A 15,563-nucleotide genomic window follows, 5' to 3' on the forward strand; every position below is an offset into this window, starting at 1 on the left:
GCACAATGAGATACCATCTCACACCAGTTAGAATGGCAATCATTAAAAAGTCAGGAAACAACAGGTGCTGGAGAGGATGTGGAGAAATAGGAACACTTTTACACTGTTGGTGGGACTGTAAACTAGTTCAACCATTGTGGAAATCAGTGTGGCGATTCCTCAGGGATCTAGAACTAGAAATACCATTTGACCCAGCCATCCCATTACTGGGTATATACCCAAAGGACTATAAATCATGCTGCTATAAAGACACACGCACACGTATGTTTATTGTTGCACTATTCACAATAGCAAAGACTTGGAACCAACCCAAATGTCCAACAATGATAGACTGGATTAAGAAAATGTGGCACATATACACCATGGAATACTATGCAGCCATAAAAAATGATGAGTTCATGTCCTTTGTAGGGACATGGATGAAATTGGAAATCATCATTCTCAGTAAACTATCGCAAGGACAAAAAACCAAACACCGCATGTTCTCACTCATAGGTGGGAATTGAACAATGAGAACACATGGACACAGGAAGGGGAATATCACACTCTGGGGACTGTTGTAGGGTCGGGGGGGGTAAGGGATAGCATTAGGAGATATACCTAATGCTAAATGACGAGTTAATGGGTGCAGCACACCAGCATGGCACATGTATACATATGTAACTAAACTGCACATTGTGCACATGTACCCTAAAACTTAAAGTATAGTAATAATAAAATAAAATAAAAATTTCGTACCAGGAGAAAGGTCAGTCCACAATTACCTGTCGGTTAGCAATATGCTTTATGAATTGGGTATGGAGCATCTAAAATAGAATTTTGTTTTAGAAAATAGTTATTTTTCACAACTGCATATTATTTGTGTTGGCTATAATAGATTTGTTATTTTAAATGGATAAATAACAGTACTTAAAAGTGTTCAATTTTAATTTCTAATATGCTTACTATCGATAGATGTGACCCACATAAACAAAAGCATTTGGGTTTCTCTGTAATTTTTAGGGTATAAAGAGTTCTCAGGGCCAAGAGGCTTGAGGCCTGCTGGTCTACATCCCCATCATCTGGACTTCCTCATCTCCCACACATTTCTCAGCCCTTTGCTAATATTGCTGCTTCTTCTTCTACTGCTTTCCTGAAGCTCTTTGTGGTAAGATTACCTATAAATGCCAAATTTCAAAATCCAATTCACATTTTTGTTTCTTACCTTGTTTGAACATCTTTAAGCCTCTTACACTGTTGTCTACACCCTTCATAAAAATGTTTCTCCCCTGATGTTGGGACACTAGCACTGGCACCATCTCCTCCTGCCTCCCCACTCTCCAATCCTCTTTGGCTTTCTCCTTGCCCTTATATGCTGGTTGTTTCTCAGGGTTCCAACCTAGATTTTCTCCTGTTACTGATCTACGTATTTTCCTTGGTGTGTCTCATTCAAATCATTGGCTTCAGTTGCTTCCAATATACCAATGATTTCCAAATCTGCATTTCTTTCCTGGGCTTCATATCCTTATTTCAAATATGTATTCCTGCCAAAGAAGCATCTCAAAAAGAGCATGTCCAACTGAAACTCATGAGCTTTTTCTTCCTGAACTCACATTTACTTGCATGCTGCGTAGGTCAATAATATTATTATTCATTTATTTGGAAACAACAAAAAAGAAAATCAAAAACAATAGCTTAAAAATTTTGTAAAGCTGTTTTTTACTCCTCCTGCTCCTTGCCCCCTGCCCGTGCCATGTAGTAAATCTCCAACTCCAATTCTAGCTCCAAAATATCTTGTATGTACTTCTTGTTTTTCCTCCTGTCTCTGTTGCTCACACTATCTTTTCCCTGAGTGATCGCAACTGTCCTATTGATCAGCCTCCTGCACACCTTCTCCCCACCCCTCGTCAGGGTGATCTTTCCAGCATGCATATGGCATTGTCACTTCTGGCAGTCAACATTCTTCCATGCTTCCTCCTCACCTGCAGGATGAAATTCATGCTCCTTAAGCAGGCAAAGGCACAGGAGTCCTTCATTATTTGATCCTATGGAGTTTCCCACTGAGTGTCTTGCCATTCCTAGTTTCTACCCTGTTTCCCAGCCGTGCTTTATGATGGGACCGTGCCTGTGCTCAGGTGGTTTTCTCTGTCCAGGATGTCCATACCCTCCATTCTGTGTGCCCCCTCTTAGAGGTCATCTCCTCTTTGAGAGCTTCCTTCTCTCTCAGCCCCCAGGCATTTATTTGCTTTATCTAGCAAATTCCCAAATCAGTTAGAATCAGGCCTTATCATATCTCCCTGTACTGTAGATACATTTACATCTCTAATTCCCCACAAGGCTGTGTCTCCTCTGTGCTCCACACACTGTCCAAGCCCACTGACAGGTGTGCAAATGGATTAGTCAGAACTAACGGGGAGGTCAGAACAGGGATCTTTTACTTTCTCTTTGAAGCAGCTGCAGAGATTAATTTCTTTTCATTGTTAAATCAAGATAGAAATATTAAATTGCTTCATCACGGAAAAAAACGGGTTCAAAATAAAAAATTTGGGGATGTAGATGAAATGAATTTTCCCTCACAGAGCGATCAAGATTGTTCCCTGCAGTCTCGTCGTTGGCTTCTTCCCATGGATTAGCAATGTGGGCCAAGATTTAGAGAAAATAAGATATGCTGGAATGAAGGCATTTGGGGGAAAAAAAGGAAAACCAGGTAGGTTACTTGGAAAGAAAAGTACCAAAGGAGATGAGGGAGATAGAACAAGAAAAGGAAAAAAAGATTGTGGGAAAGAATGCACAGAAACAGTACTAAAGAATAGTCCATTTGCTGCCAATAAGGGGCTACAGGGAAAAAGAAATACAGGAATGAGAGGAAACCCTGACAGGATGCAGCTTCACAATTCTTTTCAGAGCTCAAGCTCAGGCAGACTTCTTGATATTGTCTCTAAAGTGTGTGTTCACCCTGACGCTCATGTCCATGTAGTTTCTCTCTCTGAGGCATTCCAGGGTCAAAAGGTCAGAGCTCCAGCATTAGAATAGGAAACTGTCTTTTCTGGACGGAGTGCCATCTTAGAAATAAACCTAGCCAATGCTTCAATCATTTGATGAAATAGCTCCAATAATTATGAGTTTGGTTTAAGACATTGATGAGATGTTTATTGACCCCAATTGTTATATTTAATTTCTTCTATCTTGTATAGTATATAGGATTTTAATAAAATCTATGCCAAATCTTAACATTCTTCAATATCAAAAGTCATAAATAACTCTTACTCAAAACCATATAAGAGATCTAGGCTATAGCTAGCAATTGCTTCAGTTAAAGAGTGATACAGCTATAAATTTAATCCTAATTTTAAAATTGCAGCAAAACATAAGGATTGAATTTACAAATCCCTCATTTTTTGCAAAGATTTCTCCAGAATTGGAACTTTTGTTTGTTTAGTCATAAACTACATGTTGAATGAAATTATCCAAAATTTCATAAGAGTGTTATGTGGTAACACTTTATAAGTAAAATATGCTTTCTTATTTAACCTCCTGGTAATGTTTGCCTGGTATTGAAAGACAACACCATATCTAATTATTTTAAAGTCAGCAGAGTATTAAAAAAACTAAATATTTTGCAAAGATAGAACTTATAATAACCTTCATTTTCATTTATTATTTTTTTTTGTGTGTGAGAAATAGTCCCACTGTTGCCCAGGCTGGAGTGCAGTGGCACAGTCTTGGCTCACTGCAACCTCCACCTCCTGGGTTCAAGCAATTCTTGTGTCTCAGCCTCCCAAGTAGCTGAGATTACAGGCGTGCAACACCATGCCCGGCTAATTTTTGTATTTTTAGTAGAGATGGGGATTACCATGTTGGTCAGACTGGTCTCCAACTCCTGACCTCAAGTGATCCACCCACCTGAGCCTCCCAAAGTTCTGGGATTACAGGCTTGAGCCACTGCGCCCAGCTATAACCTTCACGTTCAAAGCACTCTCCCATCTATTATTAAGGCCTCTGAGAAAATCTCCTTTTTATATATATTCTCAAGTCAGAATTATTAGTCTCCATCTTTCATCTTAGTCTTCTTCAAATACCAAACTCTTTACTAAGCAGTTAGACACAAGTAGTTTCACCAGTTCTATCACTCAAATACGGTTTCATAAGTTCTGCCTAGTGATTGCCCATCAGAGGGGATATGGATTTGTGGGCAGGAAATAGAATAGAAACCTAACTCTAACTCTTCTGTGAAATGTAGTGTTTAGGTTAATATTCTTCCTTAACTGCCATCTGCTTTTTTTTGTTTGTTTAACACTTTGTCCAAATCTCTCAAACCTTACACCGCAGAATCATGGAGTGTTCAAGCCTGAAGGGAATGGAGAGATTGGGCCAGCTCCTCTTGGATGCATCCTGAAATCGAGGACCAGTCAGAGGCAGGGAGTCGCCCACTATCAATCCCGATCACTAGGAGGAGGGCTGAAGAAGAGTGGAACTCGGGTTTCCCAGCTCAAGCCCCTCCCCATCGGGGCACATCACACCACCTCTTCCCATGCCACTTAAAACAGCGTGCTGCTGCATCCCCCAAAGTCCGGAACACATTTCAGATTCATCAGCCAATCCAGTTTAAGAGAATTGGTGTTGGCTCCCCTTGTTAGAACAGACAGAACAGACCACTCGAGAATCTTTTGTATTTGTTGACAAATATAAATAGAGATAAAAGAGAGGAAAGAGGGGAGATGAACTTGAAGCTGTACGGCTTAACATTGAAGCCATGTGGCGTAAGCAGTTAAACACAGGGACCCCGTCTCACACTGCCTGGTTCCCTCCTCCAGCTGTGTTGTCTGCTAATGACTGTGTGGCCGCGGGCCAGCTGCTTGGTCTCTCTAGCCTCAGCTTAGGGTTTCTGTGATGGCTATATGAGCTCAAGGATTTACAAGGAGTCCTGTTACATGGTGAGCACACAGGTGTTAACTGTTAGGGAAAGAGCTCCTTTTTATTCAGAGGAGCCCGACATAACTTCACAGGACTTGAAGGTGTCTTATATAGTCACTCATCTGCAAAGACATGTGGTCTTTTCAGCACTTCTTTCTCTCTCTAATGTGGTTCTACTAAGCTACCCACATTTAAGATCCCAGCCAGGTCACTCGGGTGCTGCTAAATTGTGTAATTCAGTGTGACCCTAAGAGACCCATATAGGAATGGAGCTATGATTTTTTTGTTGTTGTTGTTGAGACGGAGTTTCACTCGTTGCCCAGGCTGGAGTGCAATGGCACGATCTCGGCACACCACAACCTCCACCTCCCAGGTTCAAGTGATTCTCCTGCCTCAGCCTCCCTAGTAGCTGGGATTATAGTCACGTGCCACCACAACCAGCTAATTTTGTATTTTCAGTAGAGACAGGGTTTCTCCATGTTGGTCAGGCTGGTCTCAAACTCCCGACCTCAGGTGATCTGCCGCCTCGGCCTCCCAAAGTGCTGGGATTACAGGCGTGAGCCATCGCACCTGGCCAGCTATGATTTGTTTTAGGGCTGTCCAGAGCCAACTCATCTACCCCACACAGACTGTCTTGAGAGGAAGACACATCTGCTCCCTAAAAGCCTAGGGGTAGGAGTATCTCATTCCCGTCAGCGTTCCACACATCCCTTAGCTGAACCCAAGAGGTTGATTCCAACCTTCATGTCAATTTCAGACAGACGGACCCAAGGTCAAGAAGGAAAACACTGAAATTATCCAAGGATCTTCGCTTTCTCTCCATCCCCTGGGAGAACATTTCAGGTTTATTAGACAGTTTGTCTGTTAACATTATTCACTTGAAACAAAACCCTGGGTGTGTGCCTTTTGGAGAACTATGTAAATCAACAAAGCTATACATAGAACAGAGCGATTCGCTCAGCAGCCAAGTTCCCCACAGATAGCAGGTGGACAGATCACGCCGAGGAAAGGAAGCGCAGCCTTTCCTTATTTTTCTAGCATTCTAGGCTTAGCAGTCAATGCACATCCTCTATGCTGTTGTTGGCTATTCAAATAAATATTGACAAAAGGTGACTAATTATTACAAGGTGTTAGTTTGTATGATCACACTGTAAGTAATGGTGGAGCTCATTTCTGAAACATTAGTATTATGTGTATTTATTATTTTGGTCTTAATTTTAGAGGTAATTTAGAAATGGCATATCAAAAAGTAATCAAATATTTAAATTCATAGCTAGCAAAACTAAAATATCATTTATGTATACTTTGAAAAACTCTACATTACCACTGTGGTTTAATTCAACTCAGAGACATTTAAAAGCGGAGATGAACAGGCATTTGTGCCATGCTAATATCTTTCTCACATTTTCTTAATGCTGTTGCAATTACCTACGGAAACACAGAAAGCCATGTCCCATCTGCCCAGCACACGTCGCCTCCTGTTTTTCGTTTCTTTACAGTGACATTCAGCACTTCTCTGGTTTTCCAGACAGTTTTCAGTTCTGAAGTAAAAGTTGTTTCTTAATTTCTTCTCAGGTTGTGTGAGGGAGTATCTCATAAATCCTAGGCTGACCCCTTTTTGGAGATCAAAAACAAAACAAGATTGCTATGAAGACCTGGGGTGAAATTAAGCCTCCAGGGTTGTGGCTGTTGTAGTGTTTCCCCCTTTTCTAACTCCCTCTCCCAAACCTCTCCTTCCAGGATGCGCCACACAGAGTCTTGATGCAGGCCCAGTGTCTTGTCTACTGCCAACCAGGGGCCAGCTTTTGCATTTGCTTTGATGGTCTATTCCAGAATCTTTTTTTCTTTACTTTTTTTTTTTAATTTAAGAGGCAGAGTTGGCCAGCCGCGGTAGCTCACATCGGTAATCCTAACACTTTGGGAGGCCGAGGCAGGTGGATCACCTGAGGTCAGGAGTTCGAGACCAGCCTGGCCAACATGGTGAAACCCCATCTCTACTAAAAATATAAAATCAGCCAGGCCTGGTGGTGCATGCCTGTGATCCCAGCTACTAGGGAGGCTGAGGCAGGAGAATCACTTGAACTGAGGAGGCGGAGGTTGCAGTGAGCCGAGATCGTGCCATTGCACTCCAGCCTGGGCAACAAGAGCAAAACTCCATCTCAAAAAAAAAAAAAAAAGAGTCTTGCTCTGTCATGCAGGCTGGAGTACAGTGGTGCGATCTCAGATCACTTCAGCCTCGATCTCCTGGATTCAAGCAATCTTCCCACTTCAGCCTCCCGAGTAGCTAGGGCTACAGGCGTGTGTCTCCAGGCCCAGCTAATTTTTAATTTTTTTGTGGAGACACAGTCTTGCTTTGTTGCGCAGCAGTCCTTTTGCCTTGGCCTCCCAAAGTGTTGGGGTTATAAGCGCTAGCCACCGTGCCCATCTTTTCCTGAATCTTCAGGTGAAAATCTGAAGGGAGGAAGTAGGGCAGGCTTCAGACTAGCTTCAGTGGTGACTTGCTCTTCAGGGTCTTTGGTCAGATGAACCTTTCCATGCAGTGATGCTCGGGGACCTATACTTGAAGTGAGGCAGAGCATTTTCTGGCTCTTTAAGCAGAACTGATAAGGACATGACTTATAAGGACATGGCATTCCCGAAGCCAAAGATGTCCCAGCTGCAACCTGTGTCCCAGCTGCAGTCCACTTGGCTGCCTGGCAAATCCATCTTCCTTCATGGCTGGCCCTGTCTCCACCTCCTTATGAGAGAGCCCCGCTGCTGGCTGTGGTTATTTTTACAGATAGTCCACTTTCTTAGGGAAGACAAAGGTTTCCTGATAACGTTTTGATTTAGCAAGTGGATGTATTCTCACTCTCTGAACATCCTGAAGTGTGTGCCTGTCACTCACCCTGCAAGACTCTACCACCAGGCTTCATCATGAGAAAAGCCCCTCCTGGCCCTGAGGGAGCCCTAGAGCAGGGCAGGGCAGGGTCTCTTATTGTGTACCCACACACTAGCGATGTCACTGCCTGTCACTTGTGTACACAACCTTCATCCCACGTGACTTACGAGCTCTCGAGAGTGGGACATATGTCTCCTTTGCCATCCTATCTTCTGGCTTAGCAGGGTCCCATTCAAAATGCATGTGTGCCCAGCAACAGGGCCATACCCTCAGGTCCTTTCCCCAGCTTCCGACTGGGAGCTGCAGCTACCTGCTCATTAGCTGCATTCAGACATCAAACAGGTAGTGTTAAAATCACTGGATTCTCCTCCCCTCCCCAGAGCTGCTCCTGCTCCGGCGTCCCTAGTCAACAGTCATTATTCACATGATTACCTGAGCCTTAGACCTGGAGTCACACTTAGCTCCTCCATCTCCCCAGACACTCCCCCCTCCACAATACAGCTTCCACCTTTAATCAGTTACCTAAGTCCTGCCAGCTTCTTATCATTCAAATTTATCAACTGCTCTTTATTTGCCTTGACACTCCCTTCATTTCAGCAATGGTAATATGTCACCTGAATTAATATAACAGCTCCCAAATCAGTGTTCTTGTCCCCACTGCAACTGCCCTTCATCATAAGAACTGTTTCTTGCACATACATTGGTAGCTTCACTGCTTGCTGGAAGTTGCTCAGCAGCCTTAGTGTGGTTTCATGGGCCACTGCTGTTTTACCCTGTCTATCATCCACTCCTCCTACCTCTGGTCACAGTGCCTGATTTTCACAAGGGCAACTCCCCTTTCCACATCCTCCCTCCTTTTGCTTTGATCCCCGCCCATTCCTCTCTACCTCTGATAAGCCAGCTCCAAGGCAGAAAGAGGGATCATCCCCCTGGTGCAGTGACTGATTCAGGGTTGGCCATTCATCTCCACCAGCCCCACAGAAAATCAGTCTTGGGAACTACTGGTCAGCAAGAGTTCCTTCTGCTGGGTTTGCAAAATGGGAGAATCCGAGCCTGGAGCTGCTGGTGGCCATCTGGACATGAGGGACTTGGCCTGCAAGAGATGGGCCAACAGCAGAGACTGAGCACAGACTTCTGACATGTCCAAGCACTTGGATCCAGGCTTGCTCAAACCACTGCACCCCCAGTCTTCAGTTTCTGTTTGGATTTATATTTTTAAACTTGCCAACAAAAGAGACTTGACTGCTCCAGATACAAGACCCTTGGTGACCAGGACTCTCCCTGTCTTTTGGAGGGTCCATGCTTTCTCTTACCGCCCAACTATGGCTCAAGTTACCTCCTTTTCTGGGATTTCCTTTTCTTTTCTTTGTTTGAATATCTCCTATTCATCCTTCAAATATTTGCTAACACTTCACCACCTCTGAGAAGCCTTTTCTGACCCCCACCAGACTCCTTGATCATTTTACCTTCTCATAGCACGTAACATATTACATCCTAATCACCTCTTTATGTGGGGGGACTTTCTCTAGACTACAGCCTCCTTAAGACTAGTATTATGTTTTATCATTGTTGTACCTCCAAAATCATATGTATTCACTCACATGTATGAAATAAGAAAATTAACGCTCAAAAAGAGACAAAAGAGAAATTATTACCTTGATTTGATTAAAATACATTTGTATGTACTTGGCCATCTGCACCTGTGGATTCAACCAATCAGGGCTCAAAAACATTAGGAAAAAAACAATAAAAATAACAATACAATAAAAAATCAAACAAATAAAAAACAATATAAGATAACCACTATTTCCATAGTATTGACATTGTATTAGGTATTATAAGTAATCTAGAGATGATTTAAAGTATACAGGAGGGTGTGCATAGGTTATATGGAAATAGTACACCACTTTATATCAGGGACTTGAGCATCCATGGATTTTGGTATCCATGGGGGTCCTGGAACCAATCCCCAAGGGTACAGAGAAGCAACAAACCATATTTTAAAATATCACTTCCTTGGCTAAATCATAGAGAATGGACTGGCGCAAGGACAAGTTTGGAAGCCTGGAGAGTAGTTGCAGTGATTTAGGCAAGAGACGATGGCATTATGAACCATGGTAGCGTGAGTGGGAATGAAGAGCAAGGGACAGATTCAAGACACTCAAAAGAGCTAAAGGTCAAATATCAGGGAAATGAGGACTACAGAGAAGGAAGAAGTCCAAATACCTCATAAGGTGTCTTCAGATAGGGAAACACACAAGGAGGAAGAGTTTTGGAGTCAGGGAACTTTAAATCTGATTTTTTTTTTTTCAATTTAAAATTGAGATATGGCCAGGCATGGTGGCATGTACCTATGGTCCCAGCTACTTCGGAGGCTGAAGCAGGAGGATCATTTGAGTCCAGGAGTTCTGGGCTGTAATGCATTGTGCTAATCAGGTGTCCACACTAAGTTTGGCATCAATATGGTGACCTTCTGGGAGCAGGGGATCACCAAGTTACCTAAGAGGGGTGAACTGGCCCAGGTCAGAAATGGAGCAGGTCAAAACTCCTGTGCTGCAGCCTGGTCAACATGGTGAAACTCTGTCTCTACTAAAAATACAAAAATTAGCTGGGCGTGGTGGCGGGCACCTGTAATCCCAGCTACTTGGGAGACTGAGGCAGGAGAACCGCTTGAACCCAGAAGGTGGAGGTTGCAGTGAGAAAAGGTTGTGCCATTGCACTCCAGCCTGGGCAACAAGAGTGAAACTCCGTTTCAAAAGAAAAAAAAACAAAAGCAAACAAACAAAACTCCTGTGCTAAACAATAGTGGGATTGCACTTGTGAGTAGCCACTGCACTCCAGCCTCAGCAACATAGTGAGACCCTGTCTCTAAAAATAAATAAATAAATAAATAAAATAAAACAGAGGTATAATCCACGTGTCATAATATTCACCCTTTTAAAATATACAATTCAGTAGTTTTTAGTGTACTCACAAGGTTTTCTAACCATCGCCATTATCTAATTCCATAACATTTCATCACTTTTCAAAAAGAGACCCAAACTAGCCAGGTACAGTGGCTCATGCGTGCAATCCCAGCATTTTGGGAGGCCGAGGCGGGTGGATCACCTAAGGTTGGGAGTATGAGACCAGCCTGACCAATATGGAGAAATCCCGTCTCTACTAAAAAATACAAAAAATTAGCCGGGCGTGGTGGCACATGCCTGTAATCCCAGCTATTCAGGAAGGCTGAGGAAGGAGAATCGCTTGAACCCAGGAGGCGGAGGTTGCAGTGAGCCCAGATCATGCCGTCGCATTCCAGCCGAGGCAACAAGAGTGAAACTCCATCCCCCCCACCCAAAAAAAACCAAAAACACCAAAACAAAAAACCCAAATCCATTAGCAGTTACTCCTCATTGCTCCATCACCCAGCCTTGGGCAGTGACTAATCTACTTTCTATCTTCACAGATTTGCTTACTCTGGGCCTTTCATATAAAGAGAACCATATGCTATTGGGTGGTTGTGTCTGGCTTCTTTCACTCAGCATGTTTTCAAGATTTACTCATGTTATAGCGTGTACCGGTATTTCACCATGTTTTATGACTGAATATGATTCAATCATATAAATATACCACAATTTATTTACTCATTCATTAGCTGATGAACACTTACTTGGCTTGTTTCTACCTTTGGGCTATTGTGAATAGTGTTTACACCAATAGTGGTGTAAAAGTGTTCTTTTACACCAGAACACTGGTATAAAAGCTATTGTGTAGACATGTATTTCCTATTGTCTTGGGTATATACCTAGAACTCGAAAGCTGGATTATATGGCAACTCTGTGTTTAACTTTTTGTGGAACTACCAGACTGTTTTCCAACGTGGTGGCAACATTTTAGATTTCTACCAGCAATTTATGAGAGTTCCAATTTTTTGACAAACTCATCAACATTTGTTATTAATATCTTGTGTTGTTTTGATACAGCAATCCTAGTGAATGTGGACTGGCATCTTATTGTCATTTTGGTTTGTATTTCCCCAGTAAATAATGATGTTAAGCATATTTTCATGTGCTTTTTGGCCCTTTATGTATCTTCTTTGGAGAAATGTCTATTTAAGTCATATGCCCATTTTTTAAGAGTGAAAACAAAATTTTATTCTAAAAATAGAACTCAGTAAAACGAAATAACAAAAGATAATAAAAAGGAAGAGAAAAGGCATTTTTAGATATTTAAAATATCTAAAAATCAGATTTTTGTTTAAGTGAATGAAGAACTGAAGATGCCATCCTAGAATTGTTTTTGGGGCCAAGTTAAAAAAAAAGTCAACCTTATTAATGGTATGTAGACAAAGAGGCAGAAGAATGTGGAAGCCTCTATCTCTGTTTCCTCCTGACTTTGTTCATAGCTGACATTCCTTCTGCCCCACACAGAGGGCTGGCCCCAGCACAGCTGCCCTGGTCTTGGCTGTGATTGATACGGATGCTCCAAAGTCAACAGGTGTGTTCTGATGTCAGAGTTTTTTGTGTTTCCTTTGGATGCATTCCAAGCCTGGATAGAGACGTGTCTGCCTGAAATGGCTTATCTCTTCTACAAGACTGGGTGGCTGGAAGATGCCTGAGACCATGGTGCCAGAGAATTCTCCGTTAGAGTATGTCCTTACAACTCAGTAAGCTTCCAGGGCTAAGTTCCGTGTTGTGTGATACACACGGAGTCTATGATCACAGGGAAACCAGCTAAAACATTTGATTCAAAACTTTGAGGCCGGGCGCAGAGGCTCATACCTGTAATCTCAACACTTTGAGAGGCTGAGGTGGTTGGATCACCTGAGGTCAGGAGTTAGAGACCAGCCTGGCCAACATGGTGAAACCCTGTCTCTACTAAAAATACAAAATTTAGCTGGAAGTGGTGGTGGGCGCCTGTAATCCCAGCTACTAGGGAGGCTGAGGCAGGAGAATGACTTGAATCCAGGAGGCAGAGGTTGCAGTGAGCTGAGATAGTGCCACAGCACTCCAGCCTGGGCAACAGAGCAAGACTCCGTCTCAAAAAATAAAAAATAAATAAACTTTGGTCCCCAGCAATATCTAAAAATTGTTTTTAATAAGAAATAGGCATAACACATGGTTACTCTTCTTCCTTGATTTCTAACTAAATTTATGGTCAGGTGATTCATGGAGAATTTTAAGTTTGAATATATTGTTACTTTTAAACATAGGGTGCAAAGCATGATATTTAGATTGTTCATATTAGAAGAAGCTATCACAATGATCAGTCAATTTATAATCATTCACCAGTCACAGGGGAAGAAGAAAATCCTAGATGCATCAGAAAAATAAATTACTAAGACAATTATAGTTATAAGATCTTCATGCTCATTGAAATTATTTCATGGGCTTAATTATTAATTCATTGAAGAAAACTGTGTTTTCACTAGTTAAAGCTTAATTTAAATTGTAGATCATATTACCTTCCTTCTCCAAGTTATTAAGGAAGATCTTTCCAAAGCAGGAAAGGATTTTTGGTGTATTGTTAAAAGTAAAAATATGGTCTATCTATCAAACTAACTGGGGGAACTTAAGCATTTTTCTCATGCTCTAAATGGCCATGCTCCATGCTAGCTCAGGATCCTAATAAACTTCCCTCTTCCACATCAGGAATTATTTGATTGAGTTGCTCAATGAAATCAACTGGTTCTCCTTTCATTATTATAACCAAAGTCTTACATTGTTATAATAAATATCAAAATTAGGAATGTATTTAAAGGCGTGATTTCATAGGCTCTGGTCCAGAGAACTGGACTCTTTTCCCCGCATGTCTGAGCCAAAATGAAGCAAGCCCCCACATACATGAATTATGGAGAATAAAACTCAGCAGGACAGGACATTAACAAGGATCAGATCAAAGGGCATTCACTGAGAGTAAGAGGTGACATAATTCACAGAATAACTACAGGAAAAGGAAATGTTCTTGACGATTTTAGATTACCTTTTATGAGAGAGTCCTGGCAGTTTGGAATATGTTTCACTAAAAGGCAGGCCATACTTCCAGATTTCTGATTTATAATATTTTTTGAGTGCAATCAATATCTTTGTCTAAGACTGTCCCTATCTGGGCTGCCTTTAGAACAAATCAACTGACACACAAAGAGTCCCTGCTCTCCGGGCCCCAACCTCCTTCTTGTACGGATGGGCTCTTCCTAAATCAAAAAACCCTGCCTCCTTCAGTTCTCCAGATTTCCTTACTCCCAGCTCAGCTACCCACACCCCAAGGGAGGGGTGGGTGATAATCCAGCTCTGGCACCCTCCTCTCCCCTACATGAGCCTCTCTGCAATGAGGCAGCCCAACTCCTCTGATGGGCTGTCACAAAGGTAATTGAAAAGGAGCATCAGGGCTCCTGTCCGCCTCCCTCACCCTCCTTGCTGGCAGCATCTACCACATTCCTGTGGATGTGAGTGGAATCCTGGACCCCGCCATCTCTTAGGTCTCCCTGCTCTGTCACCACCAGGGCCAGAGTGTGATAGTTGATGCCTGCTGGACGCTTGGGGATTCCTGAGTTCTACTTTGTTCAGAAAAGGTCTGTGTCCGCTGATGTCTTATCAGCTGGCATAAGTTGGCAGGTGAGGTTGAGGATTACCTCTGATTGCTGATTCTAGAGCAAGTAGACCCTGTAGTAGAAGAGAAGCCCATCCTTGTCAAGTGGAGGTTGATGCTCGGACTCTGCAGCTAGTTTAGAAGCCTAGTTAAGGGCTTCTCCCATGATGAAAACCACAGCCCTCGCCGCTGGCGAAGGAACACCAGGGTGAGGTTACCAGCATTCCTTCATTGTATCCTTACCAGGGATATTTTTTCCAGCCTGCTTCCACCTTGTATCTCCACACCATGTTTTTGTCTTGTTTAGTTTTATTTGCAGATAGGGTCTGGCTCTGTCACCCAGGCTGGAGTGCAGTGGCGTGATCTCGGCTCACTGCAGCCTCTCGCCTCCTGGGCTCAAGCGGTCCTCCTGCCTCAGCCTCCAAAGTAGTTGGGACCACAAGCACACACCATCACACTTGGCTAATTATTCTTTCTTTCTTTTTTATTTTTTATTTATTTATTTATTTTTTTGTGGGGACGAGGTTTTGCCATGTCACTCGGGCTGGTCTCCAACTCCTGGACTCAAGCAATCCACCTGCCTCAGCCTCCCAAAGTGTTGGGATTACAGGTGTGAGCCACTGCATGGCCCATTCCGTGTTTTTAATTCACAGACCTGGCCCAGGAGGCATATTCCCCACTGTCACTTCCCCTCGGCCCCTCCAGGGAGGGAAACCCAGCACCCACTCCCATTCTATCTACCGCCCTGAGAGCTGTTCAGACAAAGACAGGCAATGAGAAGAAACAAACCCAGCCTTCTCTGTCCATCCTGTGAGGCCCGGCAGGCAACAGGGACAATGGGAAAGGGAAGGAATTGCTATGCGTTAAGAATTCAGTAGTATTTTGTGGCCACATTTTCTTCCTCTCTTCTTCCAAACTCCTTTATCCTTCAAACTTACCAAGTTGATACTGTACAATTCCTGACTTGTATTGTCTTGAGCAATGAAGCAAGGCTGCAGGGAGTCCACAGAGAAGCTGCTGGAGTGAATTTCCTTATCGATAATTCTTATCAGCTCAAATATGCCACTGCTCTCTGACATAGTTTGAATGTTTTCAGAATATGTCCTTTCTTTTTAGTCTTATGGTATCGTTTTTTCTTTTCTTTCTTTTTTTTTTTTTTTTGAGACAGGGTTTTGCTCTTGTTGCCCCAGGCTGGAGTGCAATGGCGCGGTCTTGGCTC

At 42.8% G+C, this 15,563-nt stretch overlaps 1 pseudogene, besides 1 other annotated feature; it reads left to right on the forward strand.

Moving 5' to 3' along the window:
* Positions 2,766-3,060: a silencer, noted in NCBI's record as "tiled region #14468; HepG2 Repressive non-DNase unmatched - State 24:Quies, and K562 Repressive non-DNase unmatched - State 24:Quies". NCBI's record gives its function as "represses a minimal TATA promoter and a strong SV40 promoter by Sharpr-MPRA in HepG2 and K562 cells {active_cell/tissue: HepG2 | K562}" and the evidence as "EXISTENCE:reporter gene assay evidence [ECO:0000049][PMID:27701403]".
* Positions 10,105-10,362, forward strand: RN7SL250P (RNA, 7SL, cytoplasmic 250, pseudogene; annotated as a pseudogene).

This window comes from Homo sapiens, chromosome 8, assembly GCF_000001405.40.
Source record: "Homo sapiens chromosome 8, GRCh38.p14 Primary Assembly".
In the NCBI taxonomy this organism is placed as follows: domain Eukaryota; kingdom Metazoa; phylum Chordata; class Mammalia; order Primates; family Hominidae; genus Homo; species Homo sapiens.